This window comes from Homo sapiens, chromosome 4 (assembly GCF_000001405.40).
Source record: "Homo sapiens chromosome 4, GRCh38.p14 Primary Assembly".
Lineage (NCBI taxonomy): Eukaryota > Metazoa > Chordata > Mammalia > Primates > Hominidae > Homo > Homo sapiens.
The window spans coordinates 8,331,654-8,347,871 of record NC_000004.12 but is presented as its reverse complement, the minus strand read 5'-3'; the positions used below and the strand labels follow the sequence as shown (position 1 = coordinate 8,347,871).

The following is a 16,218-nucleotide window of genomic DNA, read 5'->3' as shown; positions in this document are numbered from 1 at the left end:
GCACTGGGCATGGGGTAGGGGACCTTGCAGTGCTGACACTCAACGCATCAGAAGGAGGTGCTGCACCACCCACCCCCCTGCCATGTGCTACAGAGAACCACAGGCAAGGGGCATGGAGACGACTCAGTGCTGTGGGCTCTGGATGTTCTGCAGCAAACTCCTCCTTCTAGAAGGTTCCTTCCCTCCGCCCTCACTTCTGAGATGGCGCTGAGTCCATGGAGGTACACAGGGAATTGATACCTGGTGCCACAGAACACAGTTGGGTGATTCTTTCTGATTCTGAGTACTTGGGACAGGCAGGGTTTTAAAGACTCAATCTAAGGAGCATGTCAAGGAACAGATTCAAGGTAGGCTTGGGGTGGTCCACCCTCACCAGGACCCATGGAGAAACAGGCAGCAGCTGGAGGCTCAGACCTCCCTCAGCTCCCCTACGGGGGTGTGTTCTCTGGCTCTGCAGTGAGGTAAGCCTACCCTAACCCTAACATGAACCCTAACCCTAACCCTAACCCTAACCATCACAGAAAGTGCACGGGGCAGAAAGGCAGAGGCTTGCGGTTCTGGTGGCATCTCTGTAGTGACCTCGGTTTTAGGCCCTGCCTCAGTTCCCCTCTCTGCAGCCACAATGATGAAGAGGATAACAGCTCTGGGGATGCTGCTCCCCTACCCCCAGCCCAGGCATCCCACCCCAGGCCTGGCCCACCTACCAGGAGTTCCGGGAGCCGAGACGACACTGCTCAGGAAGCTGTGACACCATCCCCAGCCCAGGGGACAGGAGCCCTTTGTGGGGACAGCATGAGGCCAGCGTGGCTCCCTGCCCAGCTGCTGGCCTCAGCCCCGTCTGGTCTGTGTTTGCTCACGGTCTTCCTGAAGCCAGGCTGGAGAAGCGCCCCCGGGCCGGCCGCCGGGCAGTGATTTCCTTTCCCTGATGTGCTCCAAGACCAGGCTGGTTTCCACAAACTCCAGCCCCCACCTGGGCTCCACACTTGCCTGACGTGACCTTGAAACTCTAAGATAATGAGCTTCAGAGGCACAAGAGGGCTGTGGTGGCCGCCGTCCATCAGCGCCAGCCTTCCAGCCCCTCCCCACCTACCTCACCCTCCCGAGACCCCTCCCCAACTTCTCCCAGACGCTTCCCCCATTTTAACCCAGTGTTCACCCTTCATGCCTCCTGACCCTCCCCCACATCTACCCAGTCCCCCTCCCAACCACCCAGCCCTTCCCATCATCTCCATCCAGTGCTCCCATCCCCTCTGGTTCCACCCCCACATACACCCAGAGCATCCCCACATACACCCCAGCTCATTGCCTGGACACACCCAGCGGCTTTCCCACCTCCATCCAGCCCCTTTCGCAATGAGCCATTTATCCAGCAAATACCTACTAAGTGTTTGCTATGTGCTGGGCTCTGAACAAGTGAGTAATTGGGGGTGCTACATGGTACACCGTGTTTGAACTCCCCAGCAGAGGGCCAGCCTCCGGAGGCGCAGGTTACCGCGGCTCCTCACCTCCCGCTGCCTGGCTCTCAGGAGGCCGGGGAACCCGAGGCAGTGTGCCAGGAGAGGTGGCACCTAAGAGGGCCTTTGGAAATCTTCTGGCTCTCCCACGGTTCTGTATATGGGGAAACTGAGGCCCAGAAAGAGCCAGGAACGTGATTCCCATCATACAGCAAGGACCTGAGCCCCAGCCCTGCATCCAGTGCCTCTTGCCAACGAGAGGGTTCTGACGACAAGTGTGCTCGGCCACACGCCAGAGCAAAGTCCAGGGCCGGCCGGCGAGGTAGCACGCGTGTCACAGCGGGACGTGTCAGGACTGTCCTCTAAACAGTGATCCCAAACACGCCAGCCAGCCCGAGCGGCGCCGACCACGGGCGCGCGGGAGCAGGGCTGTGCGCAAGCAGGGCTGTGCGGCGTGCTCTGGGTTTGCCGCCCTGCCGTGGGTGTGCAGGGTGGACGCAGAGGCCGATGGCTGTTAAAGGGGCACAGGAAGAAGCCAGCCCCCTTCAGGGACGGACGGGGAAGCTCAGCGAGGCAGGGGCTCCTCAGAAGGGAAAAGACGCACAAAAAGGGCCGTGTGTCCTTCAGCCAGGGGTAGACGCCGCGCTGAGCGAAGCCCTCAACAGGCGGAACTTCTTGCACCCAACAAGACATCCGCAGGGTGTCCACCTGCCCAGGACACCTGTGAATGTTGGGTGGATCCTGCCAAACAGTCCTCCAAAGCACTCATTCCAGTTCCCACTCCCAGCAGCTGCACCCTCCCCAAGCTCCCTCGCCCCAGGATCTCACCGGCACTTGGTATGTTCCATCCGCTTCACTTCATCCTTTCCGGTGGGCGCGCAGGAGGATCTCGAGGGGTTTTAATTTGCATGCCCTGATGGCTGACAGAGCCGAGCATCTTCCCAAGTTAATTGGCTGTGGGACGCTTTCCTTTGTGAAATGCCTGCCCAACTCCCTCTGTTTGAAATCAGGGTGATTTGGTTCCACCGCCCATGCCTCTTCCCTGCCCAGGCTGACGCCACCTCTGCAAAAAGGGACTCGGCCCATTTGTGTTCTGTCCACCTAAAGATTGCAAGATGGATCCTTGAACCTCTGAAGCTCCTGGGGCAGGGCGTGGAAGAGCGATTCCAACTCAAGGCAAATCGTGTTCGGGCGCTCATCCCTCCACGGCCGGGCTGCCCTGGGAGGCTTTTCCTAGTTCCCCCCGACTCCATCTCCATCCCTGCCTGGCCAGGCCCCTGGAAGTGAGGCTGTGTCCTCCCTGGGACCCCCAGCTGCTGGCCCAGCCTTTGTGGTGGGAACAGCACCACCATGCATTAAGGGGCCTGGATCCTTCTCTCTGCTGTGGAGCCTTGGGTGACCATATCCCTCTGGGCCTCAGTTCTTTCCACCTGCTTAGTGAAGGCATTGGAACGCAAAGTCCTTTGATTTTAGCCTTCTAGCTGAGGTCATTTCTCTCCGTGAAGGTTTCTTTATAAAATCATAAACAAAATAAATACTTCATGTAAAATGTTAAAATCAAGGAAAAGAATCTCCCAGAGTCCCACCTGCTCACCCCCAAACAACAAATGCCGTCATTCTGGGGCGTTTCTTTCCAGACTTGTTCTTGGAGTGATTTTCTGAATATAATTATGCTCCTGTCACTCATGTGCCTTTTCCTCTCACTTCCTCCATTGACCTCGGCTGTAAGTATTTCCCGTGGCACTGCGTCGTCCTCATTCGCCTCTTTTTAAATGGTGACCTAATATCCCATGAAACCAGTGATCACCAGCACTCAGCCCCTCCCCACTACTGGACATGAAGCTGCTTTCCAAGTCTCATGATGACACACGGCACAGCAAGGGTGGACAGACGACCCAAATATGTGTGGCATGCTCTGGGTTTGCCGCCCTGCTGTGGGTGTGCAGGGTGGACGCAGAGGCCGGTGGCGGTTACAGGGGCACGGGAAGAAGCCGGCCCCCTTCAGCGAGGGATGGGGAAGGTCAGTGAGCTTCCCTGGGCTCTGTGCTTGGGAGCTCAGCATCCCTGAGCTCTCAGCACTGATGCAGGAATCTAGCCGGACTCCTGTTCTGGGTTTTCCAGGCCTGCACCTTTTCCCTAAACCCACCGGCTCTTATCCCTTTCCTGGGCCTGACCTGGATATCTAGGAGGGAAATATCTCGTGTATTGGTGTCAGAGTTCCTGGCCGGCCATGACTCCAGAACCCCAGCAAGTGACACAGACTTTCGGAGCCTCAGTTTTCTCGTCTGTAAACTAGGTACAGCATCGCCTACATGGCAGGGCTCCTGTGAAGACTCACTGTGATGCCGGACCCAGCTCATATTGGGGTTCAGTAGATGGTGACGGCCGCTGCCGTGCAGCCACCAGAGTGAGGCAGGAGGGTCCAGCCTGGGGAACCCCAGGGCACACAGGGCCAGCTCCACTCTCAGAGGGATCTCAGGGGGCAGAAATCCCCAGGCCGGATGCTATGGCTATGTCCGGGGACCCTGCCTGCCCAGGGGCTGGGCTCCCAGCAGCGCGTGGGACACCCACAGAGCGTGCTGGGTCTGAGGCCCCTCTGCCGGGAGGGCTGTGAGCTCGTCAGAGAGGACGAAGGAAGGAGGAGTTTGTGCGGGCCTAAGTCTGGGGCCTGAGGAGGCAGGCCTGGCACTGCGGTGGCTGGGTTCTGCTTCTGATCCCGGACCAGGCAGCTCAGCCCCGCGGTATGTGGGCTCACCGTGGCCAGCCCTGAGTCTATAAGCATCAGAACTTTTTCCAAACATCCATTCTCTCTTGGCCTTGCAGCTGTTTCTTCTTAAACACACACACACCCAAACCAAAACACAACAGCGGAGTGGGATTTGGACACTTCCAGTCCTCCACTCATCCCCAGTGGGCCCTTGCCAGGTCGCAGCGGGACCCACGGACAGCACCGACAGCTGCTCTGGAGCAGGTCGGCTCACAAGCGCCCGGCCCTCCCTGGCTGGAATTCTCTGTGCAACGGGTCCGGCCAGGCCTTCCAGAACCCCCTGAGGCTGCTCCAGGAAAGCGGGACAGCGGGCCTCCTGCTCAGAGCCTCTGCACAAGCGGTTCCCTCCACTCCAGAATCGTTCCTGTCACTGTCCTCCCTGCTTCTCCTCATCCAGGGGCTGTTCCCAGACCAACCCGCAGTGGTGCCTTCAACTCCCAACGCCCTGCCCCCCACCCATCTCTGCCGCCCCAGGAGCCTGCCTCTGTACCAGGGACCAGCTCTCAATGGAGATGAGGGCCGGGCCATGGCTCTGCGGTTCTCCTCCGGGTCTTCAGAACCACATGTATGACAAGCGTCCAATGAATACTTGTTGGACAAAGGCCTCCATGGATTGGGTGCCTGTAGTTCCTGGGGCTACAGCAAATCGACAGACCCCTGCCCTCTGCAGAGCCCAATTCGCAGGGCAGTCAGACATCCTCAGGGTCTCTGAATGTGACAGCAACTGCTGGCTCACCTCCTCCAGGGGGCCCTCCTGAGCCCACCAGGCCAGCCGCTCCTCCTCCATGCTTCCCTCTAATCTACCTTCAATCTAATCCTGTTCCAGTGTGGGCTCCTTAGGATAAAGATCAGGTCGCGTGTCCTTCCTGCGCCCTTCATCACCACCAGGTCAGTACGTGCACACCGCACACTAACCCACTCTGGGCACCGTTCCAGGCTGGGTGCACACAGTGGGCAGAATGAATAGCCTGTTCTTCTGAAGCTTACATTCTAGTGGGAAGAGGAGGATTTTAAAAACAAACATCGCAAAGCGGTTTCACAGATAACTTCTTTCTAGTTTTTATTGTGGGATATTCGGTTTTTCACTACAGGTCTCAATGGGCTCCGAAATGTCCCGTCACAGATTCTACAAAAAGAGTGTTTCCAGTCTGCTGAATCAGAAGAAAGGTTTAACTCTGTGAGATGAATTCATACATCGCAAAGCGGTCTCACAGATAGCTTCTTTCTAGTTTTTATCTCAGGATATTCGGTTTTTCACTATAGGCCTCAATGGGCTCCGAAATGTCCCCTCACAGATTCTACAAAAAGAGTGTTTCCAGTCTGCTGAATCAGAAGAAAGGTTTAACTCTGTGAGATGAATCCACACATCGCAAAGTGGTTTCGCAGATAGCTTCTTTCTGTTTTTTATCATGGGATATTCAGTTTTTCACTATAGGCCTCCATGGTTTCTATCGTAGAATATTCGGTTTTTCACTATAGGCTTCAATGGGCTCCAAAATGTCCCTTCGCAGATTCTACAAAAAGAGTGTTTCCAGTCTGCTGAATCAAAAGAAAGGTTTAACTCTGTGCGATGAATCCACACATCACAAAGCGGTTTCACAGACAGCCATAACATGGGAAGGCTCATCACCTGGCTCAGAGTCACTGCTGTTTGTAAAAGGTATGACTGTCCTGCTGCTGCTGTGCATTTGGCTTGCGCCCAGAGAGAGAGAGTGAAGGTTTTGACCCTGTAAGGGAGAGCCAGCCTTGCAGGCCAGGGAATGCAGCTGCAGGCGTGGGAGCGACAGGAGACTCAGAGCCAGAGCGGGCAGCCGAGACAGAGACAGACAGTGTAAGGGAGCCACTGAATAAAACCATACTTCAGGCTGGGCACCGTGGCTCAGGCCTGTAATCCCAGTACTGCGGGCTACAAAATGCCCAGCACAGAACCAAGTACATGTTAAATCCCCTCCACGTCCCCCTCACCACCCAGGAGCACAGTCACTTCCCAGGCACACAGGGGTTAGGGCAGATGTAGGGATTTGAAAACTGGACCTGGTATATCTGGCCATAGGGCTTATAGGGAGAAAACAAAATATTTGCAGGCTGGCTCGGTGGCTCGCACCTGTAATCCCGGCACTTTGGGGGGCCGAGGCGGGTGGATCACCTGTCAGGAATTTGAGACCAGCCTGGCCAACATGGTGAAACCCCATCTCTACTAAACATATAAAAATTAGCCGGGCTTAGTGGCAGGTGCCTGAAATCCCAGCTACTTGGGAGTCTGAGGCAGGAGAATCGCTTGAACCCAGGAGGCAGAAGTTGCAGTGAGCTGAGATGTCACCATTGCACTCCAGCCTGGGAGACAGAGGGAGACTCTGTCTCAAAAATTTAAAAAAAAAAATGTAAAAACAACAACAAAAAAATTAAGTGTTTGCAGCTGTCGTGGGAACTGTAGAATTTGCCAGTAATTTGGAGGAAATTCGCCCAAAGCCTGAAGACAGATGGGGCCTGGGATCATGGTTCTGGCCGCTCCCCCATATTGAGGGGTTGTTTCTTCCCACACAGGGTGTAGAGAGACCAGAACATCATCTTTTTCTCAGAATACAAGTGAGCCTTGGCCTTCCCTCTGTTTGTGGCCTTCAAATAGAAAAAAACAATCACTGGCTTTACATCTGGTGGAGGAAGCAGGACAAAGTCCCCCACAGAACACAAGAGCTGGCCAAGTCAGCCAGCCACGCAGGGCTGAGCACCGGCAGCCAGCCCAGGCCTGTGTCCTGTCCAAGGCTGAGGAAAACATGGCCCCTCCCTCAAGGGCGTCCATTAAGACCTAACAGGGGAGGCGAGGCCAAGATTCTGGAAGCTGTCAGCGGCCACAGCCCCACACCCCAAGCCACTGCCTCCTCTACTATGACTTCCCCGTGCATCTGGGACACTTGGGCCCGTGTTTTCCTCCTCCTGAGGTGTAGATGGGAGGAAAGGGTCTTCATCCGCTGCTGCGGCAAACTTCCCTTAGGCCACCATTTGAGCTGTCCCTTAAAAAAGTTGATGGCTGATCATAAAGCCTTTTCTTTAAGTTTGTTTTTAATCAAAGTTGAATATGCATTCTGCTAAGATCATACCAAATGGGAAAAGTTGAAAGTATGCCCACTTTCACCACTTTTATTCAACTTAGTACTGAAGTCCTAGCCAGAGCAATGAGGCAAGAGAAAGAAAGGATTAGACAAATTAGAAAGTCAAATTTTTCCTGTTTGCAGATGACATGATTATATTTAGAAAAACCCAAAGATAGCCAGGCGCAGTGGCTCACGCCTGTAATCCCAGCACTTTGGGAGGCTGAGGTGGGTAGATCACCTGAGGTCAGGAGTTGGAGACTAGCCTGGCCAACATGGTGAAACCCCATCTCTACTAAAAATACAGCAATTAGCTGAGCGTGGTGGCGGGCGCCTGTAATCTCAGCTACTTGGGAGGCTGAGGCAGGATAATTGCTTGAACCCTGGAGGCAGACGTTGCAGTGAGCCAAGATCTCACCATTGCACACAGCCTGGGCAACAAGAGTGAGATTCCATCTCAAAAATAACAAAAACCCAAAGATGCCTCAAAAAACTGGTAGAACTGATCAATTTAGTAAAGTTGCAGGATACGAAATCAACATACAAAAATCAGTAACATTTCTGTATGCCAATAGTGAGCAATATTAACAAATCAAGAAAGCAATCCTATCTATAATAGCTGCAAAAAATGAAATGCCTAGGAGTAAATTTAACCAGAGGTAAAAGATTTCTATAACAAGAACTATAAATCACTGATGAAAGAAATTGAAGAGGACACACAAAAAATTTCAAGATATTCCACGTTCATGGAATTAATTTTGTTGGAATTTGAAAGAATTAATGTTAAAATGTTCATATTACCAAAAGTGATCTACAGATTCAATATAATCTCTATCAAAATACCAATAACATTCTTCACAGAAATAGAAAAAAATCCTAAAATTCATCTAAAACCATAAAGACCTCGAATAGCCAAAGCAATCCCTAGAATGAACAAAGCTGGAGGTATCATACTACCTGACTGCAAATATACTATAGTAACCAAAGCTATAGTAACCAAACAACTTGGTACTGACATAAAAACAGACATATCACTCAGTGGAATAGAATAGAGAACCCAGAACTAAATCCATGCATTTTCAGTCAACTGATTTTTTGATGAAAGTGGTAAGAATATATGTTGGGGAAAGAATAGTCTCTCCATGAATGGTACTGGGAAAACTGGATATTGATATGCAGAAGAATGAAATTAGACCCCTATCTTTTACCATATACAAAAAGCAATTCAAGAAGGATTAAAAACTTGAACATAAGACCTGAAACTATGAAACAGAGGAAATACTTCAGGGCATTGGTCTGGACGAAGATTTTTTGGGTAAGACCTCAAAAACTCAGGCAACAAAAGTAGAAATAGACAAAGCGCATTATATCAAACTAAAAAACTTTTCCACAGCAAAGAAAACAATCAACAAAGAGTAGAGACAACCTACAGAATGGGAAAACATATTTGTTAAATATTCATCCACCAAGGAATTAATATCTAGAATATATAAGGAATTAAAATAACTTGGTAAAAATCAGATAATCCAATTAAAATGAGCAAATGTTGGTCTTGGCTGTGATATGAAAAGAAAAATAAGAAAAAATAAAAAGTACTAAAAAATGACAAAAATAATTTTTAAATTAAAAAAGGGAAACAAAAAAAGAAATAAATGGGCAAATGGTTTGAATAGACATTTCTCAAAAGAAGACATACAAATGGCCAGCATATGAAACCATGCTCCACATTAGTAATCATCAGGAAAATGCAAATCAAAACCACAGTGAGAAGTCACGTTGCCCCAGTTAACATGACTATTCAAAAAGACCAAAAAATGCTGTCAAGGATGGGGAGAAAGGGGAACTCTTACATATTGTTGGTGGGAATGTAAATTAGTACAGCCATTATGGACAATAGCATGGAAGTTCTGCAAAAAACTAAAAATAGAAGTACCATATGATCTAGCAATCCCACTACTGGGATTATGTCCAAAGGACATGAAATTAGTATGTTGAAGAGATATCAGCACTCCCATGTTTACTGTGGCAGTATTCCCGATAGCCAAGAGACGGAATCAACATCAAGCCAAGTGTCCATCAACAGATGGATGGATGAGGAAATGTGGTATATATAATGGAATACAATTTGTTCATGTAAAATAATGAAATCCTGTCATGTCTAGATACGTGGATTTTGTAGGTCATTATGTGAAGTGAAATAAGCCAGGCACAGAAAGACAAATATTGCATGATCTCACTCATATGTGGGAGCTAAAAAAGTTGACCTCATAGAAAGTAGAATAGTAATTCTCACAGGCTGGTAAGGGTAAGGAAGAGTGGTTTAGGAAGAAGTTAGTGAATGAATGGAAAATTACTAGGGTGACTACAGTTAACAATAATGTATTAAATATTTAAAAACAGCTAGAAGAGAAGATTTTGAATGATTTCAACGCAAAGAAATGACATATGTTTTAGGTGATGGCTATCCCAGTTGCCCTGATTTGATCATTACACATTGTATACATGTACTGAACTATCACATGTACAAAATAAATAGGTATAATTATTACATATCAATTAAAAAATTTTAAAGATCTTAGAAAAAAGTTGCGGCCGGGCACGGTGGCTCACGCCTGTAATCCCAGCACTTTGGGAGGCCGAGACGGGCGGATCACGAGGTCAGGAGATCGAGACCATCCTGGCTAACACGGTGAAACCCCGTCTCTACTAAAAATACAAAAATTAGCCGGGCATGGTGGCGCGCGCCTGTAGTCCCAGCTACACGGGAGGCTGAGGCAGGAGAATGGCGTGAACCTGGGAGGCGGAGCTTGCAGTGAGTCGAGATCGCGCCACTGCACTCCAGCCTGGGCGACAGAGCGAAACTCCGTCTCAAAAAAAAAAAAAAAAAAAAAAAAGGTTGCATGTGCATGTAATCTAAGAAGTTAAATAATCCCCAGGGCTTTCTATAAAAACCAGCAGTGCCCTGCCCCTCTACCCCACCCACTCAAATTATTCTTCCCCATAGGCAACCACTTCCTTTATTTTTTTTTAAAAAAAAAAGCCAATTTTGTTGGTGTAAGAATACCTCAGAATATTGCAAGTTTTGTTCCAGACCATTGCAATAAAGTGAATATCACAATAAAGCAAGTCACACAACTTTTTTGGTTTCCCAGTGCATATAAAAGTTATGTTGACACTCTACTGTAGTCTACTAAGCATATAATATTAGCATTCTGTCTTAAAATGTATATACCTTAATTTCAAAATATTTTATTGCTAAAAAATGCTGACACAGACACCAAGTGAGCACATGCTGTTGGAAAAATGGTGCCGATAGACTTGCTCAATGCAAGGTTGCCACAGACCTTCAATTTGTAAAAAGAAATGTAGTACCTGTGAAGTGCGATAAAACAATGTATGCCTGTATTTTCCTAAATAACATTCTTATATTGCTGCTTTTCAATTTTCCAGTTTAGTCAAGACCTATTGACTTCCCTTCATGGAAGAGGAGGTTTTAGCTTTCCCTCATTTCCTGCCCCCAACCTCACACCCTCCTTCCCATCAGCCTACCCCCAAGCGCAAAGAGAGTGTGATTCGTGTCAGATTGTTTTAGTTTAAGATCTCTGAGATGGAAAGCAGCCTTTCAATGATTAGGAGAAACACAAGATGGAAATAAAGATTTTATTACTTACAGGTCCTGAGGGTACACGGCATGCCCAGAGGCCACACACACAGAAGTCAGGGAGCATGTGAGGGAGAGAGACAGAAGGACCCTTGCCTTTATTGGAGTCTAGGGCATTCTCTATACAGATTTCCTGCAGGAAGTTTTAATCGGTGGGTTTGAAGCAAGCAGGCACAAGTTCCAGAAGTCATGCTGTGACTGAGAGGTGGCTACTGTGGCATATCTGCACGGTCCATGTGGGGTGAGTCAGTGGGATGAGTCAAGAAGGTTGTATCTGGATGTTCCATATGGAGGTGTTCACCAGGAGGAAGTTGCATATGCCAGATATCTGGATTGACACATCAAGGAACTGGGAGGAAGTGGAGAACTGGAAACCGTGTCGATGGTGATTGAGCCCTGCTTCTGTATGAGAAAGTCCAATTTATATTCAAAATCAATGTTGAGGCAACATAAAATTATAAGAACTCACCACATAGATAAGCATGATTATATAAATGTAACTCAGAGCAGAGCTGTGTAATATACTATGATTACTTTTCCCTTCTTAACTTTTCCCCATAAAGATATTGTTTTTTGTTTTTTTTTTTGTTTTTGTGTGTGTGTGTGTGTGTGTGTGCGTGTGCATGCCTAATGCTAATGTAACCCCAAACTCTCTGCCTGTTGTCTAAATCTCCTCTCTAGACCTTGGGACACATCAGCTATTCCATATCTCCCTTGTTTTTATGCAGTTCATGCTCTGTTGACTTTCTAATGATGGTTCTGGGGAAGTAAAAATTATTGCAATCCTAAATGTCTGAAAATGACCTTATCAGATCTGCAGCCTTGATCGACAGTTCGGCTGGGTATAGAATTCTAGTTTGGAGATCACTTTCCTTCAGTAAAAGGCAGGCAGAGGCCAATTTTGCAGGAATTGCCTCATCATCTTCTAGCTGTCAGTATAGCTATCATCAAGTCTGAAGCTGTTCTGATTCCTAATTCTTTATATGTGACCCTTCCCTCTTCTGTTACCTATACAAAATTTAAATGAACAAATAAATGATTGATTTTTAGAAAAGTCTTATTTGGCCCTCATTCATGTGTTCTTTGGATAGAAAAAAAGTTAAGTCTTGGTTTTACATATGGTCATGGAGACTAGACTAAAAAAAACTCAGAATAATTCAAGGCTGAAACAGTGGCTTTGTTTTTTCCCTCAAATTCATCTAATGTGGAGCCACTGGGGCGTTACAATGTGAGGGAACTAAAAGTACAATCAATTTATTATTGTCACAACTATCTCACCTGTCAGCTGTGAGAACTGGCTGAGGTGGTGTCTGGCACACTGAACACAGTGCCTGTTGTGAAGTAGGCCCATGGCAGGTGGTGCTTCCAGAACTATCTTCTCCTGCACCGCAGCACTGCTCTCTCCCCATCCACCCGCTTGGAGCAGGAGGTTTTCCTGAGACACCTAAAACATACCTGGCCCTGGCCCTCTCCTACAACAGCTGCCTCTTGGGTCTCCATGGCCCTTAGTCAATGGTGTCCTGGTGCCGGCTTCACCCTGCTCAGCTAGCAGAGCCAACTGTGTGCATCTCCTCCCAGCTCTGCACCAGCGACCTTGTGTTGGCAACGTAGGGGGAGTATTCACACTGTGGAAACTGGGGAATGCTGCACGTCACACTGCCCCAACCAAGAGCCAGTTGTTAAACATTTACCAGCACAGCACCACTTGGGACAACAGCTGAGTGTCTCAACCCAGCGTGTCTGTGTCCACATCCCCAAGGCTCGCATTGCCCGTGGCGTGGAGTAGGACTCACGAAGCTAGTGTTGGCTGTACGTGTGGTGTGTTCAGTGGACACTGAGCACAGCACCAGGACGATCACTGTAGGGGAGGAGTGGGAGGGTGGTGGGTTCCAGAAGGAACCCTGACTGGGAAAGACCCAATCGTATAGTGCCACAACCCCAGGGGCAGGTGAGCACTGACCACTCACCCAAGGCTCCAGAGAAGCCAGGAGGGTCCCTGGGAGGAGTACGCCCTGCATTGCAAAGCCCTGGATATTTCCAGGAACTTGGAGAAGGATTTTTCCTTTTCAGAGGCTGCAGCTGTTACCCCAGGAAACCTCTTTCTTATGGGGTCAGGAGACCCAGGCTGGGTCCCAGCCTCACCAGCACCCAGGACCTAGCACGCAGTGTCTGTAGAGTCAATGAACAGATGTCCCGCTGGGAGTCAGGCATGTTGCTTTGTGCTCTGAGCTTCCCTTTCTCATCTATAAAATGGGGGTAAAAACCTGACTTCCCAGGTGAAGTCAAGAGGAGAAACAATGTAAGCACCTGAAACCCGGCCCCAAAGGGTTAAGAGAATTTGCTCACTAGCAAAATTTTCTGAGCTGCTCTTGCAGGACAGCAAGGGAGAAAAGTTTGTTACCGTGCCTTCCATCTGCAACAAAATTCGCCCATGAGCTGAGACTCGCGGGAACCAACATGGCTGACTGGAGTCTGTGCAGAATAGACTTGCGTGCCCCATGAGTGGCTTTTTGACGTCAGAGGGCCAGAAACTCCACCTCCAGATTAGATGTTGCCATTTTCTGAACATGCAACCCATGAAGAAGCATGCTAGGGCAGCAGCCCAAGCCCCAGGGACCCCCCAGACTCCCTTCCTTCTAGCCAGTCACTGCCCAACCACGAAACTCCAAACTCAGAATCTCTCCCTTAAATCCATGGTGGCAAGGCTGGTACGGGGGCAGACAGATTTGAGCTCAACTCCTGTCTCCTTGTTCAGCTGCCTGGCAATAAGCCTTTGTCACTGGTGCTTCTGTGTTCAGCTTTCCCTTGCACATAGGCAAACAAACCAAACCCAGTTTGGTTCGGTGACAAACCTTGTCAACTGCAATGCTAATGCCGGATTTCACCTTTCGGCCCAGAGGCCTGCACTCATTGTGACCTCCAGTGGCTCTGGAGGGTTCAGCCATGAACAGAGCCCCCGCTCCCTGCCCATTGGCTTTCTTTTGGCAGGAGGGGGAGGGGAGTCAAGGGCAGCAGAGATGACGTGACCCTGACCCAGTGGGACATTGAGGATGCATTTGCCAAATGCATCCCAGTGTCTCTTGTGCCTTTCTCTGAGAATGGACCCGGAGTGAGGTTGTAAGATACTGGGGGGCACTCGAGGCTCCAGAGCCTGCCGCTGCTGCAGGTAACTCTTGGAGAGGAAGCACACTCTGTCCCCTCCTGTCTACTATGAACTGGAAGTGGCATTGTCTTGGTTAAGAGCACAGGTTATAAGGTTGAAATCACAGTGCTGCCTTTACAGCTACATAAACTAAGGTTAGGAGATCTGGAACCCTGGGCCTCAGTTTCCTCATCTGCAAAATGGGGAGAAGAGAGATATTTTGAGAACCAAAACAATAATGAGATGCGGTTTGGCGAGCACTGAGCAGCATACAGTGGGTTCCCATATTTGCTATTATTCCTCTTACTGCCAGGTGTTGGGTGGCCTGCAAAAGAGCCAGGGGAGTTTCGTTTCCCCGGGTACTCATGATGGACACCTCCTGAGGTTCTGCTTGGAGCAGGCCTCTAGTGCATCCTCAAGAAGCTGAGACCTCATGCAGACTGTGGCCCCCTGGTCCCCACCCTAGAGCTGCAGCATTCTGGGATGCAGGAGCTTCCCTCAAAGCCGAGCTGGGCCTGCTGGCTCCCTGTGGTTCTCATGAGGACTTGGCACCTACCCTGCCCCTGCCCTCCCTGTTGGGCAGCATCACTCACCGTCCTCCTGGGACCATCATCACAGCCAAGTCCAGTGTGCTCACCAGTGTCAAGCCAGGGAACCCACACCTTCTAGAAAGGGGGTGCAGAAACCCAGCTTGTGAACGCTGGCCAGATCCAGGCCCTGGGTAGGGCTGGGCCATGGAAGCCGTCCAGCAACCTGAACCAGGTAGCCTGGGGCCTTCCAGACGCAGTGAGGATTGCTCCAGACGTCTCTCTCTTGCCAGCAGTTGAACACGGCTCAGGAAGGTGGCCATGAGACAGAGACACGCAGGGCAAGAATGTGGAGGGCCTGGAATACTGGGATAAGGGCTGTGGAGGTGTGGATTTCCTGGAGGTGTGGGGTGAGGGAGCCAGGTGTCCAGAGTGATTTCTGGGTGCCAGGGATGGGGCTGATGGGTGGAGATGGTGAGGAGGTCACTGGGCACCTGGCCAGGTACTCTGCAGGGGGCTCCCTCTACGTCTCCAGGGGCCACCTGAGCTACTAGCATCACCTTTTTCTGATCACACCTCTCGGATCTCCATCCTTGTGGACTTTTCTTCCTGTGTGGTCCAGTGGTCTCACTCTGCCAGGCCATCCTGTGCCAGTGCCTGTGGGTATTTTAGCAGATGTCCAGCAACCCCTTGTCCCCTTCACGGGCTCCTGCACAGTGTGCCCAGTGGGCAGTTTGCCTCGGCAGCAGGGTTGCCCTACGTTTGGGGTGTGCTGCAGGATGAATACGTGTCTTAGTCCATCCTGGCTGCTAGAACTAAGTGCCATACACTGGGCAGCTTACAAACAACATTTCTTTTTCACAGTGCTGGAGGCTGGAGGTCTGAAGTCAGGGTGCCAGCATGGTGGGGTTCTCGTGAGGGCCTCTTTCTGGCTGGCAGGCAGTTGCCTTCTCCCTGCATCCTCATGTGGTGGAAAGAGCGTGAGCATCTCCCAAGCCTCTCTTATAAGGGCACGTATCCCCTGCATGAGGGCCCCACCCTCATGACCTTATCACCTCCCAAACGCCCCACCTCCTAATGCAATCCCATTGTGGGTTAGGGTGTCAACACGTGAACTCTGGGGGACACAGACATTCTGTCCATAGAATATAACATCTGAGTCTCTGAGGGACCAACCCTCTCGGATCCTGACTAGGTCAGGGCTGACTCCCCATCTGGCTGGGAAAACACACATGGTAATGTTTCAATTTCTTTCAAAGTCAGAGGAAAAAGTGAATATAATAATGATGCATGTATAATAGTGAATCCAGCCTGCATACTGTTCATCTTTGTACCAACACAGCTATAAAACGCAGTTTTAACTTTTGTTTTAATGGAGGGAGACGTCCACTGAAGCCAACGCTCCTGGGGCCCATGGGAGTCATCGCGTGGCCTGGGTCAGATGGGCAGAGGGGGCACAAGGGCTCAGCAAGATTCAAGCACCTGAGGCTGACTCACTGGCAGCTGCTTCCTCCCTGGCATCCTCGGACCAAGTCTTCAGATCATGACTTTCAGATACAGAAAACCCTCACCAGTGAC

At 50.0% G+C, this 16,218-nt stretch overlaps 1 long non-coding RNA gene across 1 annotated transcript; it reads right to left on the bottom strand.

The window, feature by feature from the left end:
- Positions 1–10,956: 10,956 nt before the first annotated feature.
- Positions 10,957–12,540, bottom strand: LOC124900658 (uncharacterized). Its single transcript, XR_007058013.1, has 2 exons — positions 12,427–12,540; positions 10,957–11,373 (listed from the first exon to the last, which is right to left on the bottom strand). It is a non-coding gene; the product is annotated as an uncharacterized LOC124900658 (long non-coding RNA).
- Positions 12,541–16,218: the final 3,678 nt, after the last annotated feature.